The sequence below is a fragment of the Homo sapiens genome, chromosome 1, assembly GCF_000001405.40.
Source record: "Homo sapiens chromosome 1, GRCh38.p14 Primary Assembly".
Lineage (NCBI taxonomy): Eukaryota > Metazoa > Chordata > Mammalia > Primates > Hominidae > Homo > Homo sapiens.
Genome location: NC_000001.11, coordinates 28,926,303 through 28,944,318, shown reverse-complemented (window position 1 = coordinate 28,944,318; position 18,016 = coordinate 28,926,303). Strand labels below are relative to the sequence as shown.

At 39.9% G+C, this 18,016-nt stretch overlaps 1 protein-coding gene and 1 long non-coding RNA gene across 71 annotated transcripts in view; one reads left to right on the top strand and one right to left on the bottom strand.

Annotated features, from left to right (window-relative positions):
- EPB41 (erythrocyte membrane protein band 4.1) overlaps positions 1 to 18,016 on the bottom strand; it is a 232,942-nt gene that overhangs the window by 175,723 nt on the left and 39,203 nt on the right. The window lies entirely within an intron of this gene.
- Positions 1,673 to 17,090, top strand: LOC124903886 (uncharacterized). Its single transcript, XR_007065563.1, has 3 exons — positions 1,673 to 1,759; positions 16,242 to 16,345; positions 16,954 to 17,090. It is a non-coding gene; the product is annotated as an uncharacterized LOC124903886 (long non-coding RNA).

Sequence of the window (18,016 nt, the reverse complement as noted above, 5' to 3'; positions counted from 1 at the left end):
ACCCTATTGTGCTATCAGATAGTAGGTCTTATTCATTCTTCCTATTTTTTTTAACCAATTAACATCCTCATCTTCCTCTCCTCCCAGCCCCCGCCTCCACACTACTCTTTCCCAGCCTCTGGTAGCCATCCTTCTCTCTCTGTCCGTGAGTTCAATTGTTTTGATTTTTAGATCCCACAAATAAGTAAAAACATGAGGAGTTTGTTTTCCTGTGTCTGGCTTATTTCACTTAATGAACTCCAGTTAGTTCCATCCATATTGTTGCAAATAACAGGGTCTCATTCTTTTTATGGTTGAATAGTACTCCAATGTGTATATGTAGATTTTCTTTATCCATTTATCTGTTGATGGACACTTAGGCTGCTTCCAAATCTTAGCTATTGTAAACAGTGCTGCAACAAACATTGGAGTGCAGATACCTCTTTGTTATATTAATTTCCTTTCTATTGGGTATATATCCAGCAGTGGGATCACTAGATCATATGGCAGCTCAATATTTAGTCTTTTGAGGAACCTCCAAACTTCTCCAAAATGGTTATACTAATTTGCATTCCCACCAACAGTGTACAAGGGTTCCCTTTTGTCCACATCCTTGCCAGCATTTGTTATTGCCTTTGTCTTGGATGTAAGCTTCTCGTTGTAGTGTGTTTGTTTTGTTTTTTTTTTTCCTGAAACGGAGTCTCACTCTATCATCCAGGCTGGAGTGCAGTGGCACGATATCAGCTCACTGCAGCCTCCGCCTCCCAGGTTCAAGTATTTCTCCTAGTCTCCCAGGTAGCTGGGACTACAGGTGCGTGCCACCACACCCGGCTAATTTTTTAATTTTTTAGTAGAGACAGGGTTTCACCATGTTGGCTAGGCTGGTCTCGAACTCCTGACTTAAGGTGATCCACCCACCTCAGCCTCCCAAAGTGCTAGGATTACAGGCATGAGCCACAGCGCCCGGCCTCATTGTAGTTTTGATTTGCATTTCTCTGATGATCAGTGATGTTGAGCACCTTTTCATATGCCTGTTTGTCATCTGTATATCTTCTTTTGAGAAATGTTTATTCGAATCTTTCACAAATTTTTTGACTCGATTAGTTTTGAAATCTTTATTTCCTTCCTTAGAATCAAAGGAACTGTTATTATGGAAATTTTTTACCAAATTAACATATTTTGCTTGTTTCACTGGCCAGAGTTGAAACCCACACTCCTGGTATATAAGTAGGAGAAGAACTTTTTCTTATATCTTTTATTCCAATAAACTGAGTTAATATTCCTATTATAATTTAAAATGACAGTAAGATTTCCCAATGGAATCAAAATGTTGGGGGGAGGGTGGAGCTGGAGGAATGAAATCCACAAAGCTCCATATTACCTCACATGATATTGTGATACAGTAAGAAATATATATTTGGTCTCTGGTCCTGGCACATACTTCCTAAAACCCTTGGAATCTCCAAAGTGCTAAGGGTCTCTGTGAATACTAATGAATTGAGTGATGGCTGGGGTTCCAGGATAGCCTTAGGATGGGGGCTGGTTGCCAGGGGAACCAACCATGTGATTAGAGGGTTAGAACTTTCAGTGCCACCACCACCACACAATCTCCAGGGAGGGTAAAGGAGCTTTAGGTTGAGCTGATCACCCATGTCCCATGATGTAATCAATCAGGACATAATGAAGCCTCCATGAAAAATCAAAAGGACTGGTTCAGAAAGTTTCTGGATTGCTGAACACATGTAAGATCGTGGAGGTTGGTGTGCCCAGAGAGGGCAAGGTAGCTCCATGTCCTTTCCCCCATACCTTGCCCTATGCATTTCTTCAACTTTGCTTTTCATCTGTATTCTCTGTAATATTCTTTCTAACAAATGGGTAAACATAATTAAAGTGTTTCCCTGAGTTCTGTGAGCCCCTCTAGCAAACTGATTGAACCCAAAGAGGGGGTTGTGGGAACCCCAATTTGGAGCCAGTTGGTCAGAAGCACAGGTCACAACCTGGGTCTTGTGAATAGCATCTGATATGAGAGACAGTCTTGTGGGACTGAGCCCTCAACCTGTGGGATCTGATGCTATCTCCAGGTAGATAGTGTCAGAATTGAAGTGAATTATATAGGACACCCAGCTGCTATCCTTTGGAGAATTGCTTGGTTAGTGTGTGGGAAAAACCACGCCACACATCTGGTGTCAAAAGTGCTGTGATGACTATGTGAAAATAGGAAAAACATTTTGGTTTTTGTTATCTCTGTACTTTTCCAAATAAAAAATTTATGAAAAGAAAGAAGGAACATCAAAATATTTATAGTATTAGCATTAATAGGATTACGGGTAATTTTTAGTTTTGGTCTTTATACTTTATCGTTCAAATTTTCTACAACTCTACAAATTTTCTAAAATTTGTAAAGTCAGGGAGAAAGGTTTTTGCTTTTTTTTTTTTTTTTTTTTTGAGACAGAGCTTCACTCTTGTTGCCCAGGCTGGAGTGCAATGGCACCATCTCAGCTCACTGCAACCTCCGCCTCCTGTGTTCAAGCGATTCTCCCACCTCAGCTTCCGAGTAGCTGGGATTACAGGCACGCACCACCACCCCCTGCTAATTTTGTATTTTTAGTAGAGACGGGGTTTCTCCATGTTGGTCAGGCTGGTCTGGAACTCCCGACCTCAGGTGATCCGCCCGCCTCGGCCTCCCAAAGTGCTGGGATTACTGGCGTGGGCCACTGTGCCCGGCCTGAGAAAGCATTTTAAATCACTTATTTATGTGGATTTTCTTTACAGAAAAACTATCTGTTAATAAATCAGTACTACAGCTTAGGTAACATTTGACAAATATTTCTTATGACTCAGTAAAAATTCACTGTAAACGTTTCTTCTTCCGAAGGATACTCATCTTACAAAACCTGCCTAGAACTATACCTCGTTGGACTTATACCTCATTTTTCCCCATTATTGGTTTTTTATTTTTTGAGACAAGGTCTCACTCTGCCACCCAGGCTGGAGAGCAGTGGTGCAATCACAGCTCATTGTAGTCTTGACCTACCAGTCTCAGGCGATCTTCCCATCTTAGTCTCCCGAGTAGCTGGGACTACAGGCAAGCACTACCATACCTAGTTTTTTTGTTTGTTTTGTTTTTTTTTTTTGGTAGAGACAGGTCTCAGGAGGCTAATCTCGAACTCCTGAGCTCAAGTGATCTACCCACTTCAGCCTCCCAAAGTGCTGGGATTACAGGCATAAGCCACTGAGCCTGGCCCTTCTTCATTATTTAACTTCACATTAAATGTGATGATAATGTGATATTCTGTTTAATACTGTGAAATATGTTCTGAAAACCAAATTCACCATCTACTGATTTTTTTAATGTGCTTTCCATACCCTATACCTCAAGGTAATAAATAGGTGATCAAGACTTTCAGACATGAAAAGTTCCCAGTAAGAAAAGTAAATGTCAGTGCTTTCGTTTTCTTATCAAGCAACACAATGGATATCCTAATGCATATTTCCTGGCATATAACATGTCAGACGATTGTAAACATTTTCTTTTGGTCACACAACATACATCCAAACTCTGGATGTTTTTGTTTCCCTACTTAGGACTAGGATAACTCACCTCAAAATTAAATATAATTGCAACCAGTCTAGAACAGTTTCCCCAACAGACTTGATTTCCAAGAAATATTAATTTTTTTTTCTTTTTGACACAGAGTCTCGCTCTGTCGCCCAGGCTGGAGTGCAATGGCGCGATCTCGACTCACTGCAACCTCCGCCTCCCGGGTTCAAGTGATTTTCCTGCCTCAGCTTCCAGAGTAGCTAGGATTACAGGCGCCCGCCACCACGCCCGGCTAATTTTTGTATTTTTAGTAGAGATGGGGTTTCACCATGCTGACCAGGCTGGTCTCAAACTCCCGTCCTCAGGTGATCCGCCCACCTCGGCCTCCCAAAGTGCTGGGATTACAGCCGTGAGCCACCGCCCCTGGCGAAATACTAATTTTTGCACCTATCAAACATAATATCAAAACTGGTTACTTCAACCATTTCCCAAGAAACACTTTACTATCTGATTTCGTATATTTTAACGTTAGTTATCTAAGTTTAATCAAGGCACTTCTAATAATTATTCTGAAAGTAATGCCCAAAACAGTCATTTAAAATCAAGATTTAAGCTTTCTCCCTGATGTACGATTTGTTTAAGAGCTCTGGTAGTTTGGCTACAAAGCTGGCTACCAACAACTCCTCCTATCAAGTGTTACAGTCATGAATGAGGACCAGCCTTCTCAAGCCAGCCCCCAGATGACTGAAGCATCCAAGTTGAGGCACCAGACATCAAAGCAAGGCCATACTGGATCCTCCAGCTCCAGCCCACCCACTGTTAACTTACGCCACATGAAATTGATAAGCTGCCCTAGTTTCTATCACATGGATCAGAAATAAGCCATTTTCACAGAGCCCTGTCCAAAATCCTGATTCACAGAATCACAGAAAATAAAATAGCTATTATTTTAGATCATTAAGTTTTGAGGTGATTGTGTAGCAATAGATAACTGATACTAGGGCATTCTGATTCAAAAACATAAGAAAAATATTAAGATCTTTAAAAAGCACTTGAGGCCAGGTGCGATGGCTCACGCCTGTAATCCCAGCACTTTGAGGGGCTGAGGTGGGCGGATCACCTGAGGTCAGGAGTTCTAGACTACCCTGGCCAACATGGTGAAACCCCGTCTCTACTAAAAATACAAAGTTAGCCGGGCGTGGTGTCAAGTGCCTGTAATCCCAGCTACTCGGGAGGCTGAGCCAGGAGAATCGCTTGAACCCGGAAGAAGGTCATTGCAGTGAGCCAAGATCGCACCACTGCACTCCAGCCTGGGCAGCTGAGACTCCGTCTCAAAAAAATAAATAAATAAAAATAAAAAATAAATAAATATAGACACAAAAACCCTCAACAAAATACTAACAAACCAAATCCAGTGGCTATAAAAAACAATTACATACCATGACCAAATGAAATTTATCCCAGGGATGCAAGATTGGATTAACATACAAAAGTCAATCAATGCACTACACCACACCAATAGAATAAAAGACAAAATCCACATGATCATCTCAACAGACACAAAAAAAGCATTTGAAAATACCAACATCCTTTCATGATAAAAAATCACTTAACAAACTAGTAATAGAAAGGAATTTCCTCAACCTGATAAAAAGTATCTAAAAAAAATCCACAGCTAGCATCAATACATCCTGTAACAACATACAGAGCAAGGCTGAAGGTTTTTATCCTAATGTCAGGAATAAGACTAGAATGTCTACTCTTACCACTTCTATTCAACATTGCACTGGCTATTCTAGCCAGGGCAATTAGGCCTAGAAAAGAAATTTTTAAAAAGTATCCAGATTGGAAAGAAAAAATAAAACTATCCCTATTTGCAGATGACATAATCTTGTAAATAGAAAATTCTAAGGAATCCACACAAAAAAAACTACTAGTTCTAACAAGCAAGTTAACCAAGGTTGCAGGATACAAGATCAACATTCAAAAATCAGGACAGTTATGGTGGCTCATGCCTGTAATCCTAGCACTTGAGCCCAGGAGTTTGAGACCAGCCTGGGCAACATGGCGAAACCTAGTCTCTCAGAAAAATTTTAAAATTAGCCAGGCGTGGTGACATATGCCTATGGTCCCAGCTACTCAGGAGGCTGAGGTGGGAGGTTTGCTTGAGCCTGGGAAGCAGAGGTTGCAGTGAGCAAAAATCGCACTACTGCACTCCAGCCTGGATGACGCAGCCAGATACTGTGTCAAAAAAAAAAAAAAATTCAAAAATCAACTGTATTTCTATATATTTGCAATAAATAATCTGAAAATTATAACTTAAAAAATTCCATTTAGCATGCAAAATAATGAAATACTTGGGAATAAATTTAACAAACAAAGTACATACAAGATTTGCATTGAAAACTATAACCCATCAATGAAAGAAATTAAGGAAGACCTAAATAAGCGGAAAAAATCCCATGTTCATAGATTAGAAGACTTCACGTTGTTAAGATGGCAATATTCCCAAATTAATCTACAGATTCAGTGCAGTAGACATCAAAATCCCAACTACCTTTTCCACAAAAATGGACAAAACTGATGCTAAAATTCATATGGAAATACAAGGGATAGCCAGAACAGCCAAAACAATGTTGAAAAATAAGACCACAGTTAGAGGACTCACACTTACCAATTTCAAAGCTTACCACAAACCTACAGTAATCAAGACAATGTGGTACCAGCATAAGGATAAACACGTAGATCAACGGAATGGAACTGAGAGTCCAGAAATAAACTCATACATCTATATCCAGTTGGTTGCAACAAGGGTGCCAAGACAATTCAATGGAGGAAAGGAAAGTCCTTTCAACATATAATGCTGGGACAACTGGACATCTACCTGCAAGTGAGTGAATCCAGACAGACCCCTGTCTCACCTCATATAAAAAATTTAATTTGAAATGGATCAAAGATATGAATGTAAGAGCTAACATAAAATTCCTAGAAGAAAAGATAAGACGTAAATTTCCATGATTTTGATTTAGGCAATGATTTCTTACATATGATACCAAAAACAACCAAAAATTTTTTTATAAATTGGACTTCAAAATTCAAAACTTATGGCCAGGCGCGGTGGCTCACGCCTGTAATCCCAGGACTTTGGGAGGCCAAGGCGGGCAGATCACGAGGTCAGGAGTTAAAGACCAGCCTGGCCAACATGGTGAAACTCCATCTCTACTAAAAACACAAAAATTAGCCGAGCATGGTGGCCCATGCCTGTCATCCCATCTACTTGGGAGGATGAGGCAGGAGAATCACTTGAGCCTGTGAGGCAGAGGTTGCAGTAAGCCTAGATCGCGCCATTGCACTCCAGCCTGGGCGACAAGAGCGAGACTCTGCCTCAAAAAAAAATAAATAAATAAAAACTTTTGTGCTTTAAAATGCGTCAGAAAAGTGGAAATACAGCCTAAACAACAGGAGAAATTTGCAAATTATATGCCTGATAAAGGTTTAGTCTATGGAATGCATAAAGTACTCTCACAATTCAAAGACAAATAACACAATGTAAATGAGCAAAGTACTTGAACAGACATTTCACAAGAGAAGATACACAAATGGCCAATAGCACATGAAAAGGTGTTCAACATCATTAGTCATTACGGAAATGCAATTCAAAACCCCTATGAGGTACCATTTCACACCCTTTAGGATAGCTATAATTTTTTTTTACAAAGGAAAACAAGTGTTAGTAAGGATGCAGAGACATTGGTACCCTTATGCACTGCCTTTAGGAATGTAAAATGGTGCAGTCACTGTGAAAAACCATGTGGCAGTTCTCAAAAAGTTAAACATAGAATTACATATGATCCAGCAATTCTACTCCTAGTTACATATCCACAAAAACCAAAAACACATATTCAAATAAAAACTTGTTTATGAATGTTCATAGCCAGCATTATTTATAATAGCCAAAAAGCACAAACAACACAATATCCAGCAACTGATGAAGGGATAAACAAAATGTGATATACAATAGAATATTTTTGTGTGATACTACAGTGGAATATTATTCAGCCATACAAAGGAATGAAGTACTGATACATGCTACCACATGGATGAACCTTGGAAACATGCTAAGTGAATGAAGCCAGACATAAAAGACCACATATTATGTGATTCCATTTATGTGAAATGTTCAGAATAAGCAAATCCATACAAACAGAAAGAATGGTGATTGCCAGAGTCTGGGGGGATGGGGAAATGTAACTGCTAACATGTAAGGGGTTTCTTGGAGTAATGAAAATGTTCTGGACTGAAATAGTGGTAATGATGAATATACTAAAAGACCACTGAATTGTACATTTGAAAATGGTAAATTTTATATGTAAATTATATCTCAATTTTTTTTAGGATACAAGTTAGGGGATAGGGCATGAAGCAGCTGCATATGTGAAAACACTGTACAAAGTGAGAGAAAGCCAAAGATCCAGCTCCGTCTTTGCCATCACTTAGTCAAGTCACTCCACATCTTGGGGCCACAGTTTTCTTATCTCTAACTGAAGAAATAGGCCAAATGACTTCTGAAGTCCCTTCTGAAGTTTTAGATTGTGCTTCTAATTTTGACTATTAATTACCAAGTACAAAAAACATACAAGTCTAATAAATGCAAAAAGCTAGAGCACCCTAAGATAAGAATGAAGAAAGTGGGAATTAGACTTGGAAGGCCAGAGAAGAAAGGGCAAATAAATCATGCCAAGGTTAGAACAGCGTAAGAAGGATATGAGAGACAAACTTTTAATAATGAGAAGTATACTAGGTGAGGCAAAGGAAGCTAGGCTAAGGATATTTGATCAGATAAGCAATAATAAACTACAGTAACTTTTTTTTTTTTTTTTTGAAACAGAGTCTCGCTCTGTCACCAGGCTGGAGTGCAATGGCACAGTCTCGGCTGACTCCAACCTCTGATTCCCTGGTTCAAGCGATTCTCCTGCCTCAGCCTCCCGAGTAGCTGGGATTACAGGCATGTGCCACCACGCCCAGCTAATTTTTGTATTTTTAGTAGAGACGGGGTTTCTCCATGTTGGCCAGGATGGTCTCGATCTCATGACCGCATGGTCTGCCTGCCTCAGCCTCTCAAAGTGCTGAGATTACAGAAGTGAGCCACCATGCCTGGCCTACAGTAACTCTTAAGGAGAGAGATTACCTACTCGATGGAAGCTCTATTTGAAGAAGATGAGTATGGCAAGATAAACTGGAATGAATATGGCAAAAGGAAAAAGACTAGAGGGAAGAAGATCAACTAAGCAGTTATAAGCAGTTAGTGCGTAGATCTTGGGGGGGGGGGGGTGTGTGTGTGTGTGTGTGTGTGTGTGTGTTTTGAGACAGGATGTTGCTCTGTCTCCCAGGCTGGAGTGCAAATGGCGTGATCTTGGCTCTCTGCAACCTCTGCCTCTCAGGCTCAAGCAATTCTTGTGCCTCAGACTCCCGAGTAGCTGGCTACAGGCATGCGCACCACAGCACCGGGCTAACTTTTTTTGTATTTTTGTGTAGAAACAGCGTTTCGCCATGTTGGTCATGCTGGTCTCGAATTCCTGAGCTCAGGTGATCAGCCTGCCTCATCCTCCCAAAGTGCTTGGATTACAGGTGCAAGCCACTTCACCTGGCCAGATCTTGATTTATTTATTTATGCTTTTTCTTTTTTTGATACAGGGTCTCACTTTGTCAACCAGGATAGAGTACAGTGGCATGAACATGGCTCACAGCTGCCTCAACCTCTCAAGCTCCAGCGATCCTCCCTCAGCCTCCTGAGTAGCTGGGACCACAAGGATGCGCCACCACCCCTGGCTAGTTCTGTTCATTTTTTGTAGGGACAAGGCCTCACTATGTTGTCCATGACTCAAGCAATCCTTCTGCCTCAGCCTTCCAAAGTGCTGGGAGTACAGGCGTTTGAGTCACCGTGCCTGGCCAGATCTTGGTTTCTAATGCCATTATCCAATAAAAGGAATGGGGACTCCTTGGAGAAATGACTGATTCTAGGAGCCGGGCAGGAAATATGCAAGATGAGCCTGGAGCATTTTGTAGTACCACAAAGTAGGAAAGTATTAAAATACACACACACACACACACACACACACACACACACACACAATGTCAAAAGAACCAGAGGCCAACCAAAAGAGCACCTGATGGCCAAAGCTGGAACAATTTGAGCAACAAAATAAATGAAGTAATACTGGATTAAAACCCAAAGTGTAAAATAAATATCCATATCAGTATGACTCCACACTGATATAAATGATTGAACAGATGAGGAAAAATAAAGTCTCTGATGCAGAATTACAAATAATTTGTGTAGATATTTTGCCCTCAAGGAGGTAGAGTACAACTCTCCACTCCTTAGGTGTGGGCTATGCATAGTGACTTTCATCTAAAGAGTACAGTATGGAAAAGGGGGGAAAGTATCTTTACAGCAGAGAAACCTGATAAACTACCTTAAGACCAAGGTCAACATCAGTAGTGATAAGTCATATTGATAGGATGTACCCTTGATAGGAAGTAATGAGAATGATACTTTACCTCTCTGGGTCTTCCTCCCAAAAACACATTATCAAGTCTAATAATGACAAAAACATCACACAAATCCCAACTGAGGCAATCTTACAAATATCTGACCAACAACCCTCAAAACTGTCAAGATCATCAAAAACAAAGCAAGTCTGAGAAACAATCACAACCAAGAAAACTGTAAGGAGAAATGAGTACTAGACATAATGTGGTATCCTGGATGGTATTCAGGAACAGGAAAAAGACATTAGGAAAAAAACCTGAGGAAATCTGAATAAAATATGAACTTTAGTTAACAATAATGTATCAATATCAGTTTACTAATGTTAAAAATATACTATACTAATATATTAATAATAGAGGAAACTGCAGTGTGGGGTATATAGGGACTCTGTACTATCTTCACAATAAATCTGTAAATCTAAAACCGTGTGTGTGGTTTTTTTAGACTAGGTCTTGCTTTGCCCAACATGACATACTGAGGACACATCACCTCTGTATTCTTCCCAAAAATCTACTATCTAATCGTGGAAAAAAATCAGACAAACCCCGACTGGCATTTTGTAAAACACCTGGCCGATACTCTATGAACGCATCAATGCTATGAAATGCAAGGAGATACTATCACAGATTGGAGGAGACTAAGGAAGACATAACCACTAAATGCAATGTGATAGCCTAGATTGAATCCTGGTCATCCTAGGTGACAATAAATTATGACTTGTGAAAATCTGAATAGGATGAAAGTTTACCACTACCCTAACCACAATAGAAGAGAGTTCCAAATCCAATCACAGTGCTGCACATCAGTTTTGAAGTCAGCTAAACATTGAGTCTTAGCACCCTCAGTTACTAGCTTCATGACCTTAGATAAGTTACCTCTCCCAGTCTGACTTTATGATTCATAAAAGGAAAATACCACCAGCTAAGGTGTGTTATTGCTGTAAGAATATTAAGCAAAGTGCAGTAAATCTTACTTATTTCTCTCTTCCTATCTTTTCTGCTTTTTGAGCAGAACAAGACAGACTCAAAGACAAATGTTGCCATCTATTTATCATCAAAATATAGTGAACACGGCAAATATGTTTGATCCAAAATGCTTTTCTGTTGCTGCCCTTTATTGATTCAAGCTCAAATGTTAAAGAAAAAAATACATAAAGACAAAACTTTTTCAAAAAATTAAATATACAAACTAAATATACCAAATATATTCAACTCAAATATATTCACAATACTAACAGTATTGGGCTCTCAACATTTAAATTGTCAACTGAGGTATTTAAAAATCTAACAAAATGTCTATACGTGTCTTTGTAAAACAAGAAAATCCTGGAAAAAAGCTTTAGTTCTTCGGTCACTAACTACTCATATTTCTTTGTTCTACTTGTAAACCCTTGACCTCCAGAAAGCTACCCCAAAAATAAAACAACGAATAATATTAATGACAAATATCAAGGCCATACTATCACAGAGCAAGTTTGCTTCTAAGTGATTTGCAGAGCATATGGTCTTTTAATATTCTACTTGATTTTCACTACCAAAAGAAGAGATGAAGAGAATTAGAGTTGACATGGAAGAGAAAATGTACTGAGAGCCTGACAAAACAAGAATATCTAGTCTAAAACTTAACAGAGGAGAAAGATCTTAGACTGAAAATATATAACTAGTTTGGCCTGTTTTTCATCTCCACATTAACAATAACATGAATTATTTGGGAAAAAAAAGATATCTGCTTTTTTTTTTTAAAGGAGGTAGGAGAGAAGCATAAAAAAAAAAAAGGAGAAAAAGCAGCAGCTTTGGCTCCTGGAAGAAAAGATAAAAATATAGAGGCCAGGCATGATGCTCATGCCTGTAATCCCAGCACTTTGGGAGGCCAAGGAGAGTGGATCACCTGAGGTCAAGAGTTCGAGATCAGCCTGGCCAACATGGCGAAACTCCATCTCTACTAAAAATACAAAAATTAGCCAGGTGTGGTGGCACCCACTTGTAATCCCTGCTACTCAGGAGGCTGAGGCAGAAGAATCACTTGAATTCGGGAGGCGGAGGCTGCAGTGAGCTGAGATAGTGCCACTGCACTCCAGCCTGGGCAACAGAGCAAGACTCCATTTCAAAAAAAACAAAAAACAAAACAAAACACTACAAGTTTCTAGTTGAACATTAAATCCAAGAAAATGATTCACATGAAGCAACTTATAATAACCAAACAATTGCAATAAATGCTTAAAATATAGACTAGGCATATTACAACCTCTTGGTTCATCTCTTAAGATTACTTACTATGCAGAAGTAGATTTACTGTTAAAATAAGCTTAAGCTCAGGGCCCTCATTTGTACTGGCCCCTGCCAAGGCCACCAAGCTAAAAGGAAGACTGAATTATCTTTGTGCTGTCTCTATTGAAAATATTACAAAGTCATTGGTCGGGCGCGGTGGCTCACGCCTGTAATCCTAGCACTTTGGGAGGCCGAGGCGAGTGGATCATGAGGTCAGGAGATCGAGACCATCCTGGCTAACACAGTGAAACCCTGTCTCTACCAACAATACAAAAAAAAAAAATCAGCCAGACGTGGTGGCGGGCGCCTGTAATCCCAGCTACTCGGGAGGCTGAGGCAGGAGAACTGCTTGAACCCGGGAGGCGGAGGTTGCAGTAAGCCGAGATCGCACCACTGCACTCCAGCCTGGGCAACAGAGCGAGACTTTGTCTCAAAAAAAAAAAAAAAATTACAAAGTCATAATATAAAACTCTTTAGAGGAGTATGAAGCCAAAAATACAGAAAAAAATGAACTATGACACCATATCAGTTAATTAAAATGTTAAGCTATTTTTCTAAATTTTGTGATATTTGTGCTATTTTTCAGCCTTTTTTTTTTTTTTTTTTAATGACAGAGTCTTACTCTGTTGCCAAGGCTAGAACCACCTTAGCTTCCCAAGCTCAAGTGACCCTCCCACCTCAGCCTCCCGAGTAGCTGGGACCACAGGTACATGCCACCACGTCCCATTAATTTTTAAATTTTTTGTAGAGGTGTGGTATCATATGTTGCCCTGGCTAGTATGAAACTCCTGGGCTCAAGCTATCCTCCTACGTCAGCCTCCCAAAGTGCTGGGATTACAAGCATGAGCCACCATGCTCAGCCTATTTTTCAGCTTTTTAAAATATGTAACTTGTGGTTTTCTCATTCTAGATAGGTATTTGTTTTCATCCCTAGTTTTGTATTCATAATTTTGTATTTTTTCCTAAAAAGTCTCTGTTGATAAGTATTCTGAATACTGATGGAATAATTTAGTCTGCCTCATACTTTCAGTATCATGTATTTAAGATATGTTTAAAAATCTCCCTTCCCATCATGGATCTTGGGTATTATTTATCACAAGGTACAATATACCACAGGATTTTTATTGAGAACTTTTATTTCTTAAAAGCATATTCAGCCAGAGAAAAATTACAGGTAAAAAAGGTGATGAAATGGGCCAGGTGCGGTGGCTCACGCCTGTAATCTCAGCACTTTGGGAGGCTGAGGCGGGCGGATCACCTGAGGTCAGGAGTTCGAGACCAGCCTGGCCAACAAGGTGAAACCCCGTCTCTACTAAAAATACAAAAATTAGCCAGGCATGGTGGTGTGTGCCTATAATCCCAGCTACTAGGGGGTCTGAGGCTGAAGGATCACTTAAACCTGGGAGGCGGAGGTTGCAGTGAGTCAAGATCGTGCCACTGCACTCCAGCCCAGGCAACAGAGAGAGACTCAGTCTCAAATTAAAAAAAAAACACACACACACACAGTTCAGGGCCAGATGTAGTGGTTCATGCCTGTAATCCCAGCACTTTGGGAGGCTGAGGAAGGACAATGTCTAGAGCCCAAGAGTTCAAGACCAGCCTGGGCAATATGACAAGACCCCGTTTCTATAAAAAAAAAAATTTTTTTTTTTTTAATTAGCTGGTGTGGTGGTGTGTGTCTGTAATTCCAACTACTCAGAAGGCTGCGGCGGTAGGATCACTTGAGCCCAGGAGTTCAAGGCTGCAGTGAGTTATGTTGGTGCCACTGCACTCCAGCCTGGGCAACAGAGTAAGACTCTGTTTCTTTAAAAAAAAAAAAAAAAAAAAAGGAAGCAACATATTGTATAATTCTATTTATATGAAATGTCTAGAATAGGTAAATCTAGAGAGACATAAAGTAGTTAGTGCTTACCTAGGACTGGGGTTGCAGGGTGGGGAATGGGGAATGACTGCTAATGAATATGAAGTTTCTTTTCAGGGGGATGAAAATGTTCAAAAATTAGATTGAGATGATGGCTGCACAACCCCATAAACACACTAAAAAACATTAAATCGTATACTTTAAATGGTTAAATCATATGATATGTTAATTATATCTCAATAAAGTCTTTAAAAAAAAAAAAAAAAAAAAAAAAGAAGGCCCAGTGCCAGGCGCGGTGGCTCACGCCTGTAATCCCAGCACTTTGGGAGGCCAAGGCGGGCAGATCATCTGAGGTCAGGAGTTCGAGACTAGCCGCCTGACCAACATGGATAAACCCCGTCTCTACTAAAAATACAAAATTAGCCAGGCGTGGTGGCGCATGCCTCTAATCCCAGCTACTCGGCGGGCTGAGGCAGGAGAATCGCTTGAACCCGGGAGGCAGAGATTGCGGTGAGCCAAGATCGCGCCATTGCACTCCAGCCCCGGCAACAAGAGTGAAACTCCGTCTCAAAAAAAATAGTAAAAATTGGCCGGGCGCAGTGGCTCACGCCTGTAATCCCAGCACTTTGGGAGGCCGAGGCGGGCGGATCACAAGGTCAGGAGATCGAGACCATCCTGGCTAACACGGTGAAACCCCGTCTCTACTAAAAAAAAAATACAAAAAATTAGCCGGGCACGGTGGCAGGCACCCGTAGTTCCAGCTACTTGGGAGGCTGAGGCAGGAGAATGGCGTGAACCCGGGAGGCAGAGCTTGCAGTGAGCTGAGACAGCGCCACTGCACTCCAGCCTGGGCGACAGAGCAAGACTCTGTCTCAAAAAAAAAAAAATAGTAAAAATTAAAATAAAAAAAGAAGGCCAAGGTCACAGCATGTATAAGTCAAGTACCAGTGAGATTATAAAGGAACATCATTTAAAATAATAATTAGTTCCCATTCATTAAGAGCACATTATGTGACAGGTACTATGTTAAGCATATTACATATTATTTCTGATCATTTCGGCAGTTCTAAAAGGGAGGTATATCATGTTAAATGTTATACAAATTTAACAGATGAAGAAACTGAGAAGTAGGGAGAATGTGTAACTTGCATAAAGACAGACACACAGCAGTCAGTACCAGAGCCAGGATTCTAAACCACATTTATGATTCCAAAGATCTTTGACTGTATTGCACTGTTCCTTAGAAACAAACCCAAGGACCTTGAATCAGTAACCTAGTTCTTCTATAATTAATGTTATATGTTACAAAGGACACCCCCTTTAACATTTAAACTCAGCCTGCTCTAGGCACCAGGTGTTCTATCTTGATCACACCAACCTACCCTTATCACCACTTTCCTCAGCCTAACTTTGGACCTGATTAAGTACTAGATCTCCTCAAACAAAACTCTCAGAAATAAAACTGCAACAAACTAAACTGTAGTTTTCTCAGGTATCAAATGGCATTAAGCTTAAAAGAACCGGAAGGGAATATTTACTGAGAGCTATTTTGTTCCAAGTTGTGGAGCTATAATCAGAGATTATATGATCTGTGGTAAATGGTAAAAGGAAGGCCTCCCTACCTCTAACCCAACACCCCTGTACTGTTTGTGTTTCTCTTCTGTGAATGGTAATTAGATATTCCGTGGGTAACTGTGGTCTCCCCTAAGGGTTATATAGACCTGGTGTTGATCACATGAAAGAAGTGGGGCCTGTATCAGATATAACCACAGGCTGGTAAGATAAAGAATTTTTTTTTTCCCTCTGGACCTTCTCCTCTGTATTTAGAGAAATCTGGATATGCTGGAGGCACTCCCAAGTAGCAGAAATAAAGATGGCTTCTGCCACTAGAAAACATATGTGTTGTGGGTCAAGTAAGGGAGGTATCCCAATAGAATACCACAAATTACAGAGGTGTGTGTTTTATCTCGTGAGCCAGATATTACAGAAGCATAATAGTAACTCTGTACTTATTTCCCTTTTTCATCTCTGAGCCTTTAGTAACATACCAGATGTTACAGCCTGGTCTCAGCTGTGTTCTGCAGGAGTATTAAGAGAAGACTCTCCTCTGGGGCAGAAAATTAAAAGAAAGCAGCACCTCTGAGGTCAGCAAGGGATTCCCCAGGGGAAAGTGAATCTTCAGGAACAAAAGTCCTTGCTGTGAGCTCCAATTACTCCACCCCATGTGCAGAATCTCCTTCTAAAGCCAGTTCTGTGGGACCCTGGCTTTTATTTATTGAGATAGAAAGCAGTTTTTCCCTATCAAAAACAAAACCTTACTGTAAATCCAGGTCTGACTCCAAATCCCATATCCTTACTGGCTGTTACATCATACTGCCTCCCAAATATACTATTAATAGAAAATTGTTCAGCCAGAGAATCATTTAAGAGGAGAAGGAGAAAGGGAGAGATGAGAGGAAAGAAGGGGGAGGGAGGGATTTCATCAAAGCAATAAAAACTCCTTGTAGATTGGATGTAAAACACAGAAATATTTAAATTAATTAGCATACACAGAGAGTAGTATCTGATACATAGCTAGCATTCAGTATGTGTTAATTCCCTTCCTTAGGAACAAAGACCATAGAGCCAAGTAGAAAAATGCGGTCTTATGTTTTGGCTTTTGAGGAAGTCCAAATATAATGATATTAGAACAGATACCCAACACGAACAACAAAAAACTCCATGCTTCCTTACTGAAAATTTTTTTTCACAGGTAAAAAGAACCCAGAATTGGGGTGAATTCATCAGTTCTCTGTTTCAATCAAAAAGAGGAACACAATATGCGCTTCTCCAAAATGTATAAAAGCAAAAATATATGTAAATTCACGAATTCATTAAACTGCAAAATCACTTGCTATTTTATTTACTTTAAGACAATAAGGTATATCTTTCTGTAACTGCTAAAAGCTACACTTCAGATTGCAGGTCACTTGTGTACAAGTTCCCCTTTCAAAAACACCCTCCCAACTCAAACCCCTTCCTGTTTTTCAACCTTGTATGTTTACTTTCACATCTGCTGCAAAAGATAAAAGCAACAATGGAGACATCAACCACATGACTGTGTTCTACCCAACCGGAAATAAAGCTCTGAAGCCAGACTTGCTGTGAAATGGGTCTTTAGAATACTCACACTCAGGCATAAAAATGTTACAGTATAAGTCTGGATCAAATCCAAAGATCAACACTAGACAAAACCAGGTGCAGCTATATTACACATGTTTATATATAATAAGCATTAGACAGACATCCAATTTAAGTAGAAAAATGCATAAGTCAAGAGGTAAAAATTATTCTCATTGCAAGATTATTCTCTCCCATCTCCATGAGGTCAGATTTTATCAAAGGGAAAAGGGAACTAACATTTATTGAGTACCTCTGACAGGCACACTACAAGGTTTGTTTTTATTAGTTATTCTATAGATTATCTGCAATGTGAGTATTATGCTCATTCTACAGAAGAAACTGAGGTGTGGAAAAGTACTTTCACAAGATCACAATTAGTAAGAAATCATTGGCTTTGACAGAAGATCCAAATCTCTCCTTCCCCACCCACTCATGGACATAAGTAAAGGTATAGTCGTAAAAAATACTGGCTTTGAAGCGAATTTTCGCTTGCTAGTTGTGTAACTTTGGACAAGTTACTTAACTTTTGGCCTGGTTAATACCTACTCCAAAGAGCTGTGGTGAAGATTAAATGCAAAAATAATAATGGGTAACATTTATCTGGTGCTGGGCACTGTTCTAATCCATTTAATCATCAAAATAACCTTAAAAGA